The sequence below is a fragment of the Homo sapiens genome, chromosome 3 (assembly GCF_000001405.40).
Source record: "Homo sapiens chromosome 3, GRCh38.p14 Primary Assembly".
Lineage (NCBI taxonomy): Eukaryota > Metazoa > Chordata > Mammalia > Primates > Hominidae > Homo > Homo sapiens.
This window is the reverse complement of record NC_000003.12, coordinates 140,543,286-140,557,842: the sequence shown is the minus strand read 5'-3', so window position 1 is coordinate 140,557,842 and position 14,557 is coordinate 140,543,286. Positions and strand designations below refer to the sequence as shown.

Sequence of the window (14,557 nt, the reverse complement as noted above, 5' to 3'; positions counted from 1 at the left end):
TGGGGGCATTATGTCATTAGCCCTCTCCCCTGGTCATCTAGATGTAGGTTACAACGGGGGACCCCAGAGCCAGATAGATGCTCTGGGAGTGCTAGGTGGGGTTCAGCTGGTGACAGCCATCACCTTACATGCCTTGGGAAAGTTCTCAAGGAAATGGTAGTCTGGGTGGATTCCATGCTGAGCTACTCCATCCTCTTCTATGGGTGGGTGAAATGTGGGAGCTGTGGTGGCCTCCTCCTCTTCCCAGTTTTCTCCCACTTGTGCCAGGCCAACCCCACAGCACTCCCGACCTTTCTTCAGTTTGCAGAAGCCTGGTCTCAGCAGGACGCAGGCCAATTTGTTCTCTCATCTTCACTCTAATGTGGCAACGACCTGGAGGTACCTGTTTCCTACCCCTAAGCCTGTAAGGGTGGAGCACCCCTCCATTGTTCTAGAACTATTGAATGTAACTACCATCTGCGGGGTTTTTTTCTGGTGCCTGTCCCAGGCTCCAACAATGTGGCAGTCAGCAGATCCATCTTTCCCACCCTTGTTCCTCTCTTTCTGAGTCCTTCTCCCGACTCTAGGTGCAGCATGACTGCACTTCTACCTTCCAGGAATTTTCTGGGATCCCCCTCCTAGCAGCCCTCCAAGGTAGCCACTGTGGCTGAGAAGTGATTTGATAGGCCAGTGAGTGAGTTGTCCAAAGGCTTCAGTAATCCTCTAATTTAATTCTGATCCTTGGAAACAAGAACCATGCCTTCTGTTTTTCTGGCATACCTAAGGGATTTAGGAACTCTACATAGCTGGGTTGGTTAACTTAATTCAATTTAATAAACATTTGTCAAGGACTTCCTGTGTACCACGCACTGCGCCCTTAAATCAGAACACTTCAAACGCACACCCAGATCACTTCAAATTCCTAGCTCTCTGAGAATTTATAGAAAGTAGTACCTTCTAGGCATTAGATAAGATACAAGATAGAGAAAGGTGGATTCAAGGTGGTAAAACAACAGAACATCTTGCTTAGGAAGAAAACAAGAACACAGATCCTTTGAGGCATCCTCAGAGGAATAGCAGAAGTTGAGGACAGCTGACGAAAGGCAACTCCTGTTTTGTGAGGGAACATTCCCAAGGGACCTCAGTTGGGACCTTCCCAACTGCTGCCTCAGTTGGCCCCAGGCTGACCAGCGTCCACTCACTGGACTTTGGAGGATACTTTGAGGCGCCGCACACCCGCCGTTGGGAACTGCCTGGAGTTGATGTAGGAGACTTTCTGGAGAGCACGGTTAATGTTCCCAATGTCGTCACCTTCCATCACCAGGATGGACTGCGAGGGGTTGAAGTGATACTGGAAGACAAAAGTGAGCATCATGGAAGAGAATGGTCAGTGATGTACATGGTTTTATGGGAGCACTTCCTGTCCATACAGGGCACCAAGGGTCACCATAAACACCTCTAGAGCATCTGCCAGTGACACAGTTGTGTGTACAAATGATAGTGTTTAAACTCTCAAGCATTTCCTCCTACTCTCTGGTGGGCTTTGCGGCCCTTTCCTATGAGGTCTTTCCAGGGACTGTGCCTGGTAATATCGGTCTGAGCCACAGGAAGGAATATTGAAAACCCAGCCACGGTGCTCTCACAGCCCAGCCCTTGGCGAACAGTGGTCCATGCTCTGTGCTAGCCGGGTGGTCTGGACCACTCAGAACTTGCGTTTTCACTCCTTTTGCTGTCTTTGTCTTTGCCCTTGAACTGCTCCCCAAATTCATCTTGCACTCCATTTTCTGACCCATGCCGTATCTTCTTAGCTTCCAACCTTCAAGCTCATTTTTCAGTTAATGGCTTTCTTTCTCTCTCAGATCTAATTTTTTGTCTTCCTTTTCAAGTGCTAAACTCTGGTTTCCCATGAGTTGTACACAACTGCTGCTTACACATCTGCCAGCAGCCCTGGGTTTGTTATCTATCCATTTCATCCAAAGTCCCTGGTATCCCACACTTGCCAAAGGCCATGTAGCGGCGATTCTCCCCACTGAGTCACTTGGGTACTCAAGCTGGACATAGATCCTTGCCCTCTCCATGTCCCCACAGCAGTTACTCTTCTTGGAATGAGGCAGGGAAAACTGCCTTTGTACTGCCCTGAATTATTGACTTTGACACTCGTTTGAGCAAGAATTATTAGGAAATGCTATCAATAAAATATCAGAAACATATCTGTGAATTCAGAGTATATATCGAATGCTCATGGCACAGGAAAGGGAGACATAGATTTTTTTTAAGTAGCTACCTAACTTAAAAGTATTTACCCTTTTGAATAGATAATATATTCACATGGTTCAAATGTACACATGTGCTAGGTGAAAAGTAGCTATCTCATTTCTATCTCCCATCCACCCAGTTTCCACAGTCCCATCCCACAAGTACTCATTATTATGTTAGTTTCTTAGTGGTAAATTGCATTATTGTTCAAAATTAGTTGCTTTCCCTCCCGTGGGACACTTATACATGTTTGCCCTATTGTTAATAGGCTTGATCGTATGACTTATGGTACCCTTCCCTGCAGGATATATGTTTTTGCCCTGTGCACTCAGCAGAGGTCATGTTACTTGCTTGGTCAACTAAATGTGGGCAGAAATATTGTTTGATTCATACGCTATGGAAGATTTAATAACCAGTTCATGGTTTGCCACATCCCTTTCTCTCTGCCATGAAACTGGCAACATTCCTTTAGGGGCTAGTCCATCGGCTTGCATCTCACAGTGAGGGAGGTATGGATCAGAGCTGCAGCCAATCTATAATGGACATGAAGTATGAGCAATAAATAAAATTTGGTTGTATAAGCCACTTAGATATTAAATAATTTGTTACTGTAGCATAACTTAGCTTATCCTGACAGTTATACTCAAGTATTCTTATAAATATATAATCAGTGAATATAGATTTCCATTTTTTTCTTTCTTATATCAAAAGTACCTCATACATAATGTATCACACTTTATTTTTCACTTGGCTCATATCTTGGAGCTCTTTCTGTATCAGTACATGACAAGCTTCCTTATTCTTTTTTAGTAGGTGTATTCCATTGTATAGATAAACTGTAATCTTTAAAACCAGTTTCCCAATATGGACATTTGGGTTATTTGTCATCTTTTACTGACGGTGTCAGAAGGAATAATCTTGTGCAAACACATCTGTAGGATACATCACTACAAGTGAAATTGCTAGGTCAAAGAGTATATGCACTTTTAACTTGGATAAATGTTGCCAACTTCTCCATTGCTAGAGATTATATCAACACATACTCCTTCCACCAGGGTATGAATGCAGCTTGTCTCAATTCCTCAACAATACAGTATGCCATCAGATGTCAGGATTTTTGCCAATCTGATAAATGACAAATCCCATCTTAGTGTAGTTTAAGTTTGTATTTTTCTTAGTATGAGGATCTGAGTATATCTTTTCATAGGTTTAAGGAAAAATGTATATTAACTTTTCCCTGATCTGACTTGAATGTCTTTATAAGGGTGTTCTGTTCTGTGTCTGGACTGAAACAGGAGTTGGATGTCTCATGAGCACTATTGTTGACACTGAACCACCTAAATCCCTTGCATGGTGTCCCCTAGCCAACTGATAGCTCAATCTTTGTCACCTTCGACCATCACATGTGTACTTCATTGGTACCTACTCATAAGGCCTCCCAGCTTCTCTCATTTTGGTCCCCACTGCGCTTTGGTGCCTTTCTCCTATATCATTTACAAAATGGTAACACCACTATTATAGTACAGTGGCCAGTAGCCCCTGAGCACAGGGACTCTGCCTCTTATCCCTGAATCCCAGAACTTAGCCTTAGTGTTCTGAAAGCCCCTGTTAGACAAATGAGTGAAGGCTCTCGAGCCTACATTTTACTCACTATCATCTCCTGTCACTCCCCAAAAGGACTTTTTTCTTTCACTTGTCTTTTTAGTGAAGCGCTGTGGGAGTCATTATCAGTACTCACCAAACCCTGTTCTCCTTTCCTTCCTGGGCATTGCGGAGGCTACACTTCTCAGTCACCTTGTACCACAGGTGGCCAGAGTCACATGACTACCTCTGGCCAATGGGCAGGAGAGGAAGGGAGGTGTGGCAATTCTGAGCTGAGGCAGTGAAAGATCCTGAAAGATGCTCGAGCCTCTTTTTTTCCTCCACTTCAGTGGCTTGCAGCATTCTATGCAGAAACCCCACCCCACCTCCCTAACTGAGTATAAGAGAAAACTAAACTTGTCATGTTAAGCCAGTGAAGCTTGAGGTTTGGGGATCATATGTTACTGTAACAGCTTAGCCTGTTTGGGAAAATTTAGCACTTCCCAGGCCTGATTCTCACTTCCCCAAGGTCATAAGGCATCTTTAAAAGAGCATGGGCTTTGTGGACTGTAATATTCCAGTTCTAGTACAAAATGCAACTTTGGAGTATTTCCTTTTCCCTCTTAGACTTCATTTCCTCATTTAAATAATGGGGAAATTAATATCTACCTGTGTGGGTCTTAAATGAGATAATATATATAAAGTTTCTAGCACTTACAAGATATTAAATATATGATAGCTTGGATGATCATTCTTACTATTGTAATTATGCCAGCACTGAGTCTTTGTGCCCCAGCCTTCACTGCTCTTGTACCCTTGTGACACAATTCTCTTCTGTCCTTCCAAGTCCTGAGGAGCGGTGTCTCACTGAGCCGTGACATCAGGCCAAGAGCACCACCCTCTGGTGCTAGATCTTGGAGCCCCCAGGCATATGCATGGTTGATGCCACAGTCAGTGTCTGAGTTGGCATCTCTCTTGCCTGGAAGGCCTCACCAGCTTAGAGTGCTTATTCCTGGAGCTGCCTCACGCTAGTGAGTCACGATTAGTTATGAGGTATTCGCAAGTCATCAGTTTCAGATTTGAGAAGACCCAAGGTCCTTGTTCTACAAATACCATCTATGTTTTAAAAGGTTTTTCTGCTCCTCTTCTCCAGCCTCATCCCCTGCACCATCCTCCTATAGCAGAGTCTTGTGCTGTTGCTATCTGTCCGTCTGCATCCTCCAGCAGATTGTGAGCACCTCAAGGGCAGGGGCTACTGACTTTTCCTCAGCATCACTGCAGGGTCTAGCACATCGAAAGCATGAGGTAGATGATAGGTCTGCAGTGGAGGTTGGTCTCTGAGCCTCACATGAGGGCTGCCTAGGAAAATCAAGAGGTTCTTCTAGAGGGATGGATAAACAGTATCCTATGGCAATCAGCAGAGGGCACAATCTCTCTGCAGCCACCTGTAGAGAGACCAGGAGAGTGTGTTGGATCTCCAGTTAATACCCTGGTCTGTGCCACAGCATTGGGAGGTCTGTCACAGCGCATGAATGTGGGCACTGGCCTAGCCATCAGCATAGTTCTTGCAGGGTCAATAAAACCTCCAGAGCAGGTTTTGGGTGTTCTTTTTTTTTTTTTTTTTTAAACTGCGGTATTCCCAGCTCTGTGGGTGGGTTTCTGATTAAACAAGATACCTGTTTGTACTTGCATCTCTACCAGGGCAGGAGATGGTGACATGCTAGGGGACCCAGCAAAGGGTGGCATTGCTCACTCGCCCTTGGGTATCTGTGCTGTGACCATAGCCTTTCGTTGAGCCAAGAAGGTGCTAGACAGATAGCCCTTGCAGAATGGTCTTCTTATTAGAGACTTCTCTTAGAGATTCGACTGGCATCTGCAGCCCCACAGCAGGCTGGACCATCAGGGAAGTCCCTGCTCAAAGCCCTGGCCTGTTCCTTGAGAGAAGGCTGGCTATGACTTGATAGGAACCCTGCTGCTCCCTATGACACCTGCCTGCCCATGGTCCATATTAAGTAAATTTGGACTCTGATTTTTCTGACTTACAGATTCAGCTGAACCATTTCTCTGAGTGGGGCCAGATGAAGATTTGCCACTTTAGAAGTTCTTCTGTCACAAAAGGGAGCTATAATTTGTTGAGAGTCTATTAGGTTTGCTAGGATATATATTATGTATACACTAAAATATATAATATATATTTAAATATATAATATATATTTATATGTAATATATAATTTAGATGTATAATTAAATTCTTACAACATCACTACAAGGTAAATAATATCAATTTATTTTATACACAAGAGATTCGGGCTTAAAGGATTAACGTGTCTTGCCCAAGGTCACCCAGCTAATAATCAGTTGACAGAAAAAAACTTAAACACCTAAACATGGTTAATAGGTGGCCTCTGATGTGGCCCCTGCCTACGTCTCTGGCACCTTCCACCTTTTTCCTCCTGCAGTGATTTGAACCTAGGAGTGTCTAGTTCTAAAGTTCTTGCTCTTTCCCACTCTTCCACATGATGGAGATGAAAAATTGGCAGGGATTGTGCTATGAAAATCAGAACAGGGTATTACTCAGGAATGTGGTGATTCCACAGTATCTTGTATGGATACAATACAGCAGCCACTAAACCATTTTAGGACTCCAGACATGCTGGAGAAATATTCATAAATATGCATGATTCAGAAGAAGACAGGTAAAGCAAGAAACATGGGCTTGTCCCTGTGAGCAGAGAATTTCCTTAATCACAAAAGGGCCTCAATTCTCTCGACCAGCCAGAGAGGTGGGAGGAGGGCAGTAACTGTCCAATAAAATAGTAGTCATTATTCAGAAATGACATGAGGAGTAAAGGGAGGGAGGAAAGGAAAGAAATTTGTTTTAATGATTTTCAAGAATGTCTTCTAATCTGAGTTGCTGATATGGAGGAAAGAGCATGAACTGATTTTGGACAAATCCCTGAGCCCCAGTCCCCCTAGTTTTGAAATGGGGTCATAGTATTTAATTTGTTGTGAGAAGTAGGGATAATGAACATACAATAGCCCCCAGTGGGTGCTCCATAAATTGGGCGTCTTATTAACTTCTCACACGGTGCTCTAGTTCTTACCAGCCATGCCCTAGGAATGGAAGAGGATCATTTGCAGTGGCTTGGTTATAAAAAGGCTTATAACCAAGCCTTTATAACCAAGCTTGGTTATAAAAAGGTTATAAAAAGTTTCAGTATCCTGAAAAATCAGATTAGCCTCCTCAGTCCCCACAGTTTTTTGTGCCACTTATTTTAGCACCTCCTCTTTTCATAGGCTATGATGACTCTAGAAATTGCTATGGTTCTTTAATTTATAATTTTTAAAAGGCATGACTTTTGAGCCCAGCATCTTTGTGTTTTTGCTCTATGGGGCCTAGTACCCTGAAACTGTGCCTGCCTGGAACAGTTCAGAGCAGAGAAGATCTACGCAGATGCAAAGAGTAAATTTAGAATCAGAAAAAGAGAAGACATCAGGAAGACAGATTTTTGCATCACTGGATTGACAAAACCCTAAGGAAGCAACACAAACAGTACGTCAAGACTGGCCTTTCCAATATGAGATGGTCTTTTGAGCTTGCCCCAATGACAAGTGATTAGCTATTGAGAGCAACTCTGTGTGTGTATCTAATCCATGAAACATTGTTTTGGAAAGTCAATCTTGCCTTGCCATGACTTTTGTACTCCTCCCATCTTCCCCATGCTACCCAGTCTCCAGAGTGAGCATCCTAAACCCCACATATGCTGAGATCATGATCCCTTGCCTGAGCCTTCAGTGGCTTCCCATTGTTGACAGAAAAAAACGTAAACACCTAAACATGGTTAATAGGTGGGCTCTGATATGGCCCCTGCCTACCTCTCTGGCACCTTCCACCTTTTTCCTCCTGCAGTGATTTGAACCTAGGAGTGTCTAGTTCTAAAGTTCTTGCTCTTTCCCACTCTTCCACATGATGGAGATGAAAAATTGGCAGGGATTGTGCTATGAAAATCAGAACAGGGTATTACTCAGGAATGTGGTGATTCCACAGTATCTTGTATGGATACAATACAGCAGCCACTAAACCATTTTAGGACTCCAGACATGCTGGAGAAATATTCATAAATATGCATGATTCAGAAGAAGACAGGTAAAGCAAGAAACATGGGCTTGTCCCTGTGAGCAGATAGAGAATTTCCTTAATCACAAAAGGGCCTCAATTCTCTCGACCAGCCAGAGAGGTGGGAGGAGGGCAGTAACTGTCCAATAAAATAGTAGTCATTATTCAGAAATGACATGAGGAGTAAAGGGAGGGAGGAAAGGAAAGAAATTTGTTTTAATGATTTTCAAGAATGTCTTCTAATCTGAGTTGCTGATATGGAAGAAAGAGCATGAACTGATTTTGGACAAATCCCTGAGCCCCAGTCCCCTTAGTTTTGAAATGGGGTCATAGTATTTAATTTGTTGTGAGAAGTAGGGATAATGAACATACAATAGCCCCCAGTGGGTGCTCCATAAATTGGGCGTCTTATTAACTTCTCACACGGTGCTCTAGTTCTTACCAGCCATGCCCTAGGAATGGAAGAGGATCATTTGCAGTGGCTTGGTTATAAAAAGGTTATAAAAAGTTTCAGTATCCTGAAAAATCAGATTAGCCTCCTCAGTCCCCACAGTTTTTTGTGCCACTTATTTTAGCACCTCCTCTTTTCATAGGCTATGATGACTCTAGAAATTGCTATGGTTCTTTAATTTATAGTTTTTAAAAGGCATGACTTTTGAGCCCAGCATCTTTGTGTTTTTGCTCTATGGGGCCTAGTACCCTGGAACTGTGCCTGCCTGGAACAGTTCAGAGCAGAGAAGATCTACGCAGATGCAAAGAGTAAATTTAGAATCAGAAAAAGAGAAGACATCAGGAAGACAGATTTTTGCATCACTGGATTGACAAAACCCTAAGGAAGCAACACAAACAGTACGTCAAGACTGGCCTTTCCAATATGAGATGGTCTTTTGAGCTTGCCCCAATGACAAGTGATTAGCTATTGAGAGCAACTCTGTGTGTGTATCTAATCCATGAAACATTGTTTTGGAAAGTCAATCTTGCCTTGCCATGACTTTTGTACTCCTCCCATCTTCCCCATGCTACCCAGTCTCCAGAGTGAGCATCCTAAACCCCACATATGCTGAGATCATGCTCCCTTGCCTGAGCCTTCAGTGGCTTCCCATTGTTGACAGAAAAAAACGTAAACACCTAAACATGGTTAATAGGTGGGCTCTGATATGGCCTCTGCCTACCTCTCTGGCACCTTCCATCTTTTTCCTCCTGCAGTTTGGGACTCATAACACTGGCTTTGTTGAAGTTCTAGTGAATACTGTGCTATTCCTCAGCCCTCTCTCATCACTCACACTTTTGGATCTGCCTGGAATGACTTCCCTCTTTCCCATCCCCTTTCCACTACTGCCTTTTTCCTAGCTGGTTCCTACCTATTCTTAAACATTCTACTCAGGCCTCATCACCTCATCCAAGGAGGCTTCCCTGACTGCCAGTCTCCAAGGTTCTGGATCTCTGGAGTGGGACTGAATCTACTCATCACTAACTCTGGGATCTTACGCAAGTTCCCATCTCCTTCAGTCTTTCGTTCCTCATGTACAAGTGTTCTGGGAATCAATACCCATAAAACGTTTAGAACAAACAGTGTCTGGTACTTGGGAGACCCTCAGGAAATGTTAGTGTTCATAATTATTGTGGTAGTCATCAACTGGATTACAAATGTCTGCTTGGGTCACTGAGTTCCTCAGAACATTTCTTTTCATATCTCAGAAACTAGCCTATAACAGAATACTAGCATATCCATGGAACGATTATGGAAGTGGCTGCAATTTAAAGAATACTCTCAGACCACCAGCTTTTCCAAGGGCACCTAGCACCAGAGCTTGACTAGCAGTAGGCTACTGATCTGGAAATTTCTACTGGAGTGGTGACTCCCTGTCCAGGAGAGGCAGGCCCAAGGCAGGGCAGAGCTGCCCATGGGCAGTACTGGGTCAAGGATGTTAGGCCAGCTGAGAAACCTCTGCTTTTGTCACATTCTCTGGGGAAATGGCCAAGGACAGAAACCCTCATAGCTTCTGGGGCTTCATGGGGCTGTCCTGTGCTCCAGGAGGCACAGGCTGGTCTGTTCCAACTTCCAGAGGAGGCCGAGGGACTGTTTTTTCACACTGGGGTCCACTATGATTGAGTGGGGGCTACAGTGATATTGGCTCTGCTCTTTATTCAGGACCTCATGGGCAGGTGCCAACAAGTGCTCGCTCTGTAAGTCCAGGTGAGGTTAGAAAGTGACCCTGGCTGTTGGGGTGCCTGCTGAGGCCATAGTCTGTCACATCCCTCCCTGCCCTCTTTGGGAGGAGCTTCTCTCAAATGAGAGAACGAGAGAAGCTTCAGTCAGAAGAAGCTTTGCTTCTCTGAGATCACTTGAATATTTCTATTTTGCATAAACAATACAAATCATGAACTGTTCATGTTTTTTTTCTTTTTCTTCTTCTTCTTCTTCCTCTTTTTTTTAAGATGGAGTCTGGCTCTGCTGCCCAGGCTGGAGTGCATTGGTGCGATCTTAGCTCACTGCAACCTCCGCCTCCTGGGTTCAAATGATTCTCCTGCCTCAGCCTCCTGAGTAGCTGGGATTACAGGTGCACGCCACCATGTGTGGCTAATTTTTGTATTTTTAGTAGAGATGGGGTTTCACCATGTTGGTCAGGCTGGTCTCGAACTACTGACCTTGTGATCCACCTGCCTCAGCCTCCCAAAGTGTTGGGACTACAGACGTGAGCCACAGGCCACCATGCGCAGCCCATGTTTCTTGTGCCTTGAAGTGACAATGTAAGACAGAATGACCTCCATACCTGCTTTCTCATTCTACCTCACCCAGGTTTTCGCTTTCCTTTTTAATTTGTATTTCACAAGGTCCTAAGTTTTTGTTTACTTTTTATGTGCATCCTTGCATCCTTTGGTTCCTTTAGCCAAATAAACAACAGAGCAGCCAACTAACGCACAAACAAATGAAATACAACAACTTCCTCCAGGTGGACATTGAACATGTGCCTGCTTTTGGGTAATGGACTGATTATACACAAGGGCTTGATCTAGGAGTTTCAGAAGATGGCAGCAGAAGCCCATTGTGGAAGTCATGGTTACTAATCTCCCTCCGGAACCCCCATCTCGTGGCTGCACCTTTGCCTTGTTGCCATTTCTGTGTAACGTTCCAGGAAGCTCCATTTCCTGGCGTGTGCTGGCGCTGTGCAGGCTGGGCATCATGAATCCCTGTCTTATTGGGAGTGATGCCAGCTCCTGCCTTACCTTTATTCCTTGGCCAAGGCTTTCCAAGGAATTAATGTCCAGCCCTTCCTTGCAGGCCTGCAGGCAGGAGATCACCTTCTGGCTTTCCATTTTGCCAGGGCGGATGGTGAGACTGGCCAGGCTTCCATGAAAGAACTGAGCAAACTGTGGTTTGGTGACTTCTCCTCCTGAAAAAACAAACACCATCATTTGCCCTGTGAAGACTGGGTAGGAAACAGCACCTCAAGGCACCACTTGGCCATGCAGCCAAAGACGCCTTGATTGTGTGTCCCCTGAACCTGAGCTTTTCCTTCTGAGTGATGAACACAGTAGCCAGAATCTCAGTAAGAAGTTATACGCTGCTAATACCCTGGCATTCCCTGGCTGCACCAGATTTAGGAATCCTGGCATTTCTGAATTTTAAAGGTTATTTTCAAGGGCACACTGTCTTAGGAGACTGGAGGGCTCTCGTGAGTGAAAATAGGGAGAAGGTGTCACTGATTAAACTTCAGGCCTGCCTTGTGCCAGTCTGTCAGGGACTTCATCTGAACAAGCCTGCAATGATGTGGTGGCATTGTTTTCACCTGGCAGGTGCAGAGCCCTGAGACTCAAAAACATTAAGGTAGTTGCCCCAGGACATATACAGCTAAACACTGCAGCTGGAGCTCTAGTTCTGGTCTGTCTGACCTCAAAGCTCGCATTTGCTTCCCTACATTCCACTGAGAGCTTGGCATGAGACTGAGGAATACTAGAAATGCTGCATTTATGAGCTCTGGCTTTCTCACAATGTGTTGATTCCACCCGTGCTTAAATTCAAGGCCTTTTACATAAAAGGACTTCCCTGATTCCTGTGGTTCTCCCTTTGGCTTTCCTCTCATTGCCTGCTTTCTTTTACTGTCATACTCTCTCCTGGCTGTGCTAAGTCCTATGGGAGCTCAGGTCCACTTTTACCCATGTGCAAGTGTTCCAAGTGCTTGTGTTGCCATGCCAGCTTGGAATCCACTCCCTCCTTTTTTCTCCCTGGTTTTCCAAATCGGATCTCTGAGGTCCATTTGAAGCCTCGCCTTCCCTAGGAGACCTTCCTCACTGATTTTACTGAGCACAGGCTCCTTCCATCTCTGAGCAACCTTCCCAGCCTGGATCTTGTACTGTTTGTTCAGAGAAGAAGAACAACGCATAGAAAAGATGGGCCTGGGTTGAATTCCAGCTTTGCTAGTTTCCTGGGAAGGTTTCATAAGCTCTCTGGGCCTCTGTTTGCTCCTAGGGCACACTTCTGGGTTTTGCCTCCAGGTTCTCCTGGGCTCTCTTGGTGGCTCCTTCAGCTTCCCCAATGCCTGGCTCTTGCAACACCTGGCCAGCAGCTTCCCCAGCCCTCTTTGCTGCCAGCAGTTGCTAACAGTGTGTGCTCCAGTGGGACACCTTCTGTGAAAGTCTTCTCTGGCTCTCTAGAGGCCAGACTTCCAACAAATGACACCCCTGCAACTTCTCTGCTATTCTTCAAGCCATGCTGTGCCAACAAAGTCTAGACCTCAGCTTGGGGGTGGGCTGGCTTTTTCTGGGGTGCTCTACCTCAGCCCTGAGGGTAGTGGATGGTCCTTATATAATCTATTCCTATGTTCTTTAGAGTTCTCTTTAGAGTTCTTACCCACTAATCCCATGTTACTCCAATCCCCATATTTATAATTTTTAGAAAGGTTTTTCTGTTGAAATTATAGTTTTCTTTCTCCTGTTTGAATCTAGATCCATATACCTTCCATGTCTGCCCATATGCCTTTGCTTAAACCCATTCCTCTTTATACTGAGACACCACCCCTAAATAGCTTAGATTAGGCAAATCTCAGAGTTCTTCAAGGCCCCTTAAGCCTCCTGTTTCCTGATGCTCATGGAAGCCCTCCATGATCCCCCTCTGCCCACCATGTGTCTCCCTCTCCTGGGACCCCTCCCCTGCATACCCTCTCTCTGCCTGGAGCCCTACTCCACCCTGCCCCCTCCCCACCCTGAGCCTTAGAACGTTCATTTTAACATACCCTTCACCACCTGGCATTATTAGCTAATGGTTTGCATGTGGGTGTTTATGTCCTCAGTAGCCTAAAATATGGTGGTTCTTAGCCTTGGCTACACATTTTAATCATTTGGAGATCCTTAAAAAGACAAACTGATTCCTGGTGCTGGGTCACATCCCCAGGGATTCTAACTTAATTGGTGTGGGGAGTTTTAAAAGCTTCTCAGGTGAATCGAATGTGAAGTCAAGGTTAAGAACCACTGGGCTATAGCTTCTTGTGGGGTTGGGCCTCTTGCACACTCCTCTTGTGATCTCTATCCTTTGTGCCACCCGCAGGCTTACTCTTGTCACTCTGTGCACACTGTTATAATTTATTAGTTTGAGTCTTTCTCTCCTGGATGGCAGGTATCACTCATGCATTATTCATTTTAATGAAGATAATACTGAGCAAGTGTTAGGGGCTGAGTGCTGCAACAGGCACTTTGCATAAGTCAGCTCATTTATTCCTGTCAACAACACTGGGCATCTTGCAATTTTCTGGCATCCTGCACTGTGCCTGGCACATAGCGGACGTTTTGTAATTGTTTGCTTGAATTGAAGGAGATGTTGATTTGAATATCAGCAGAGTGGTGGGCCCTGTGGTTGTCTTTCCAATATCCATCTCACTCCTTCCTTCTTGCAAAGGCAGCCCTAAAGTTTAGGGTTATTGACTTTAGCTCCAGAGACAGACTGTCTTTAGTTCAAGCTAATTAGATTATTCCTTCCCTATTGCACCTGTGATTGATTGAGGGGTGGACCTGGGACCCAGGATGAAGCCATCACCTGGCATTCAATAAGCTACAGGAATTGATCCAGGAAGAATCATGAGAACAAATTGAGGCCAGTATCATGAAATAAGTTGATTGTCAACCTCTGTATAAAAAGCTTCCATTTTTTCTCTTCTGAAAGTTTCTGGAACAAATTCTTGCTCTCTTTCCTGGACACAGTTCTGGGAAGATGGGAGGCTGGCTGTTGCAGCTATCTTGCCAGCAGACTGGTGATGACCAAGGCCCTGCATGGAGAAGGGCAGTGGCAGGAGAGCCCCAGCAGGGAAGAGCAGAGCCTGAGCTGCCCTGCTCTCTGCCCTGCCTTGGGACGTTCTCAGCCTGGGGTGCCACTCATCCATCTTTATGGTTTGAGCCATTTTGACCCACAGTGTTGTTACTTGCCACCCAAAACATCTTCACTTTGGAAATAAAGGATAAGTTTCTTTTGAGGTGCTCAGTTTACAAAAAGTTCTAAACAGATTTGGCTTTGAGGAATTAGTTGAGATGGCCCACGGCTATGGGAAAGCTAACTGGGGTCTTCTGATTTAAATCTTCAGTGACCCCATGCATAAAGTACTCCTTCAAGCCATTAGCATGTTCCCGTCCCAG

General features: G+C 44.9%; 1 protein-coding gene across 2 annotated transcripts in view; it reads right to left on the bottom strand.

The window, feature by feature from the left end:
* The window catches only part of CLSTN2 (calsyntenin 2), a 642,213-nt gene that overhangs the window by 19,555 nt on the left and 608,101 nt on the right, over positions 1–14,557 (bottom strand). For both annotated transcript variants that reach the window (NM_022131.3, XM_017007022.3), the window contains exons 10-11: positions 11,162–11,328; positions 1,182–1,330 (exon numbers count right to left, since the gene is read on the bottom strand). In NM_022131.3, coding sequence (NP_071414.2) covers positions 1,182–1,330; positions 11,162–11,328 — 316 coding nt within the window. The remainder of the gene's footprint in view (positions 1–1,181; positions 1,331–11,161; positions 11,329–14,557) is intronic.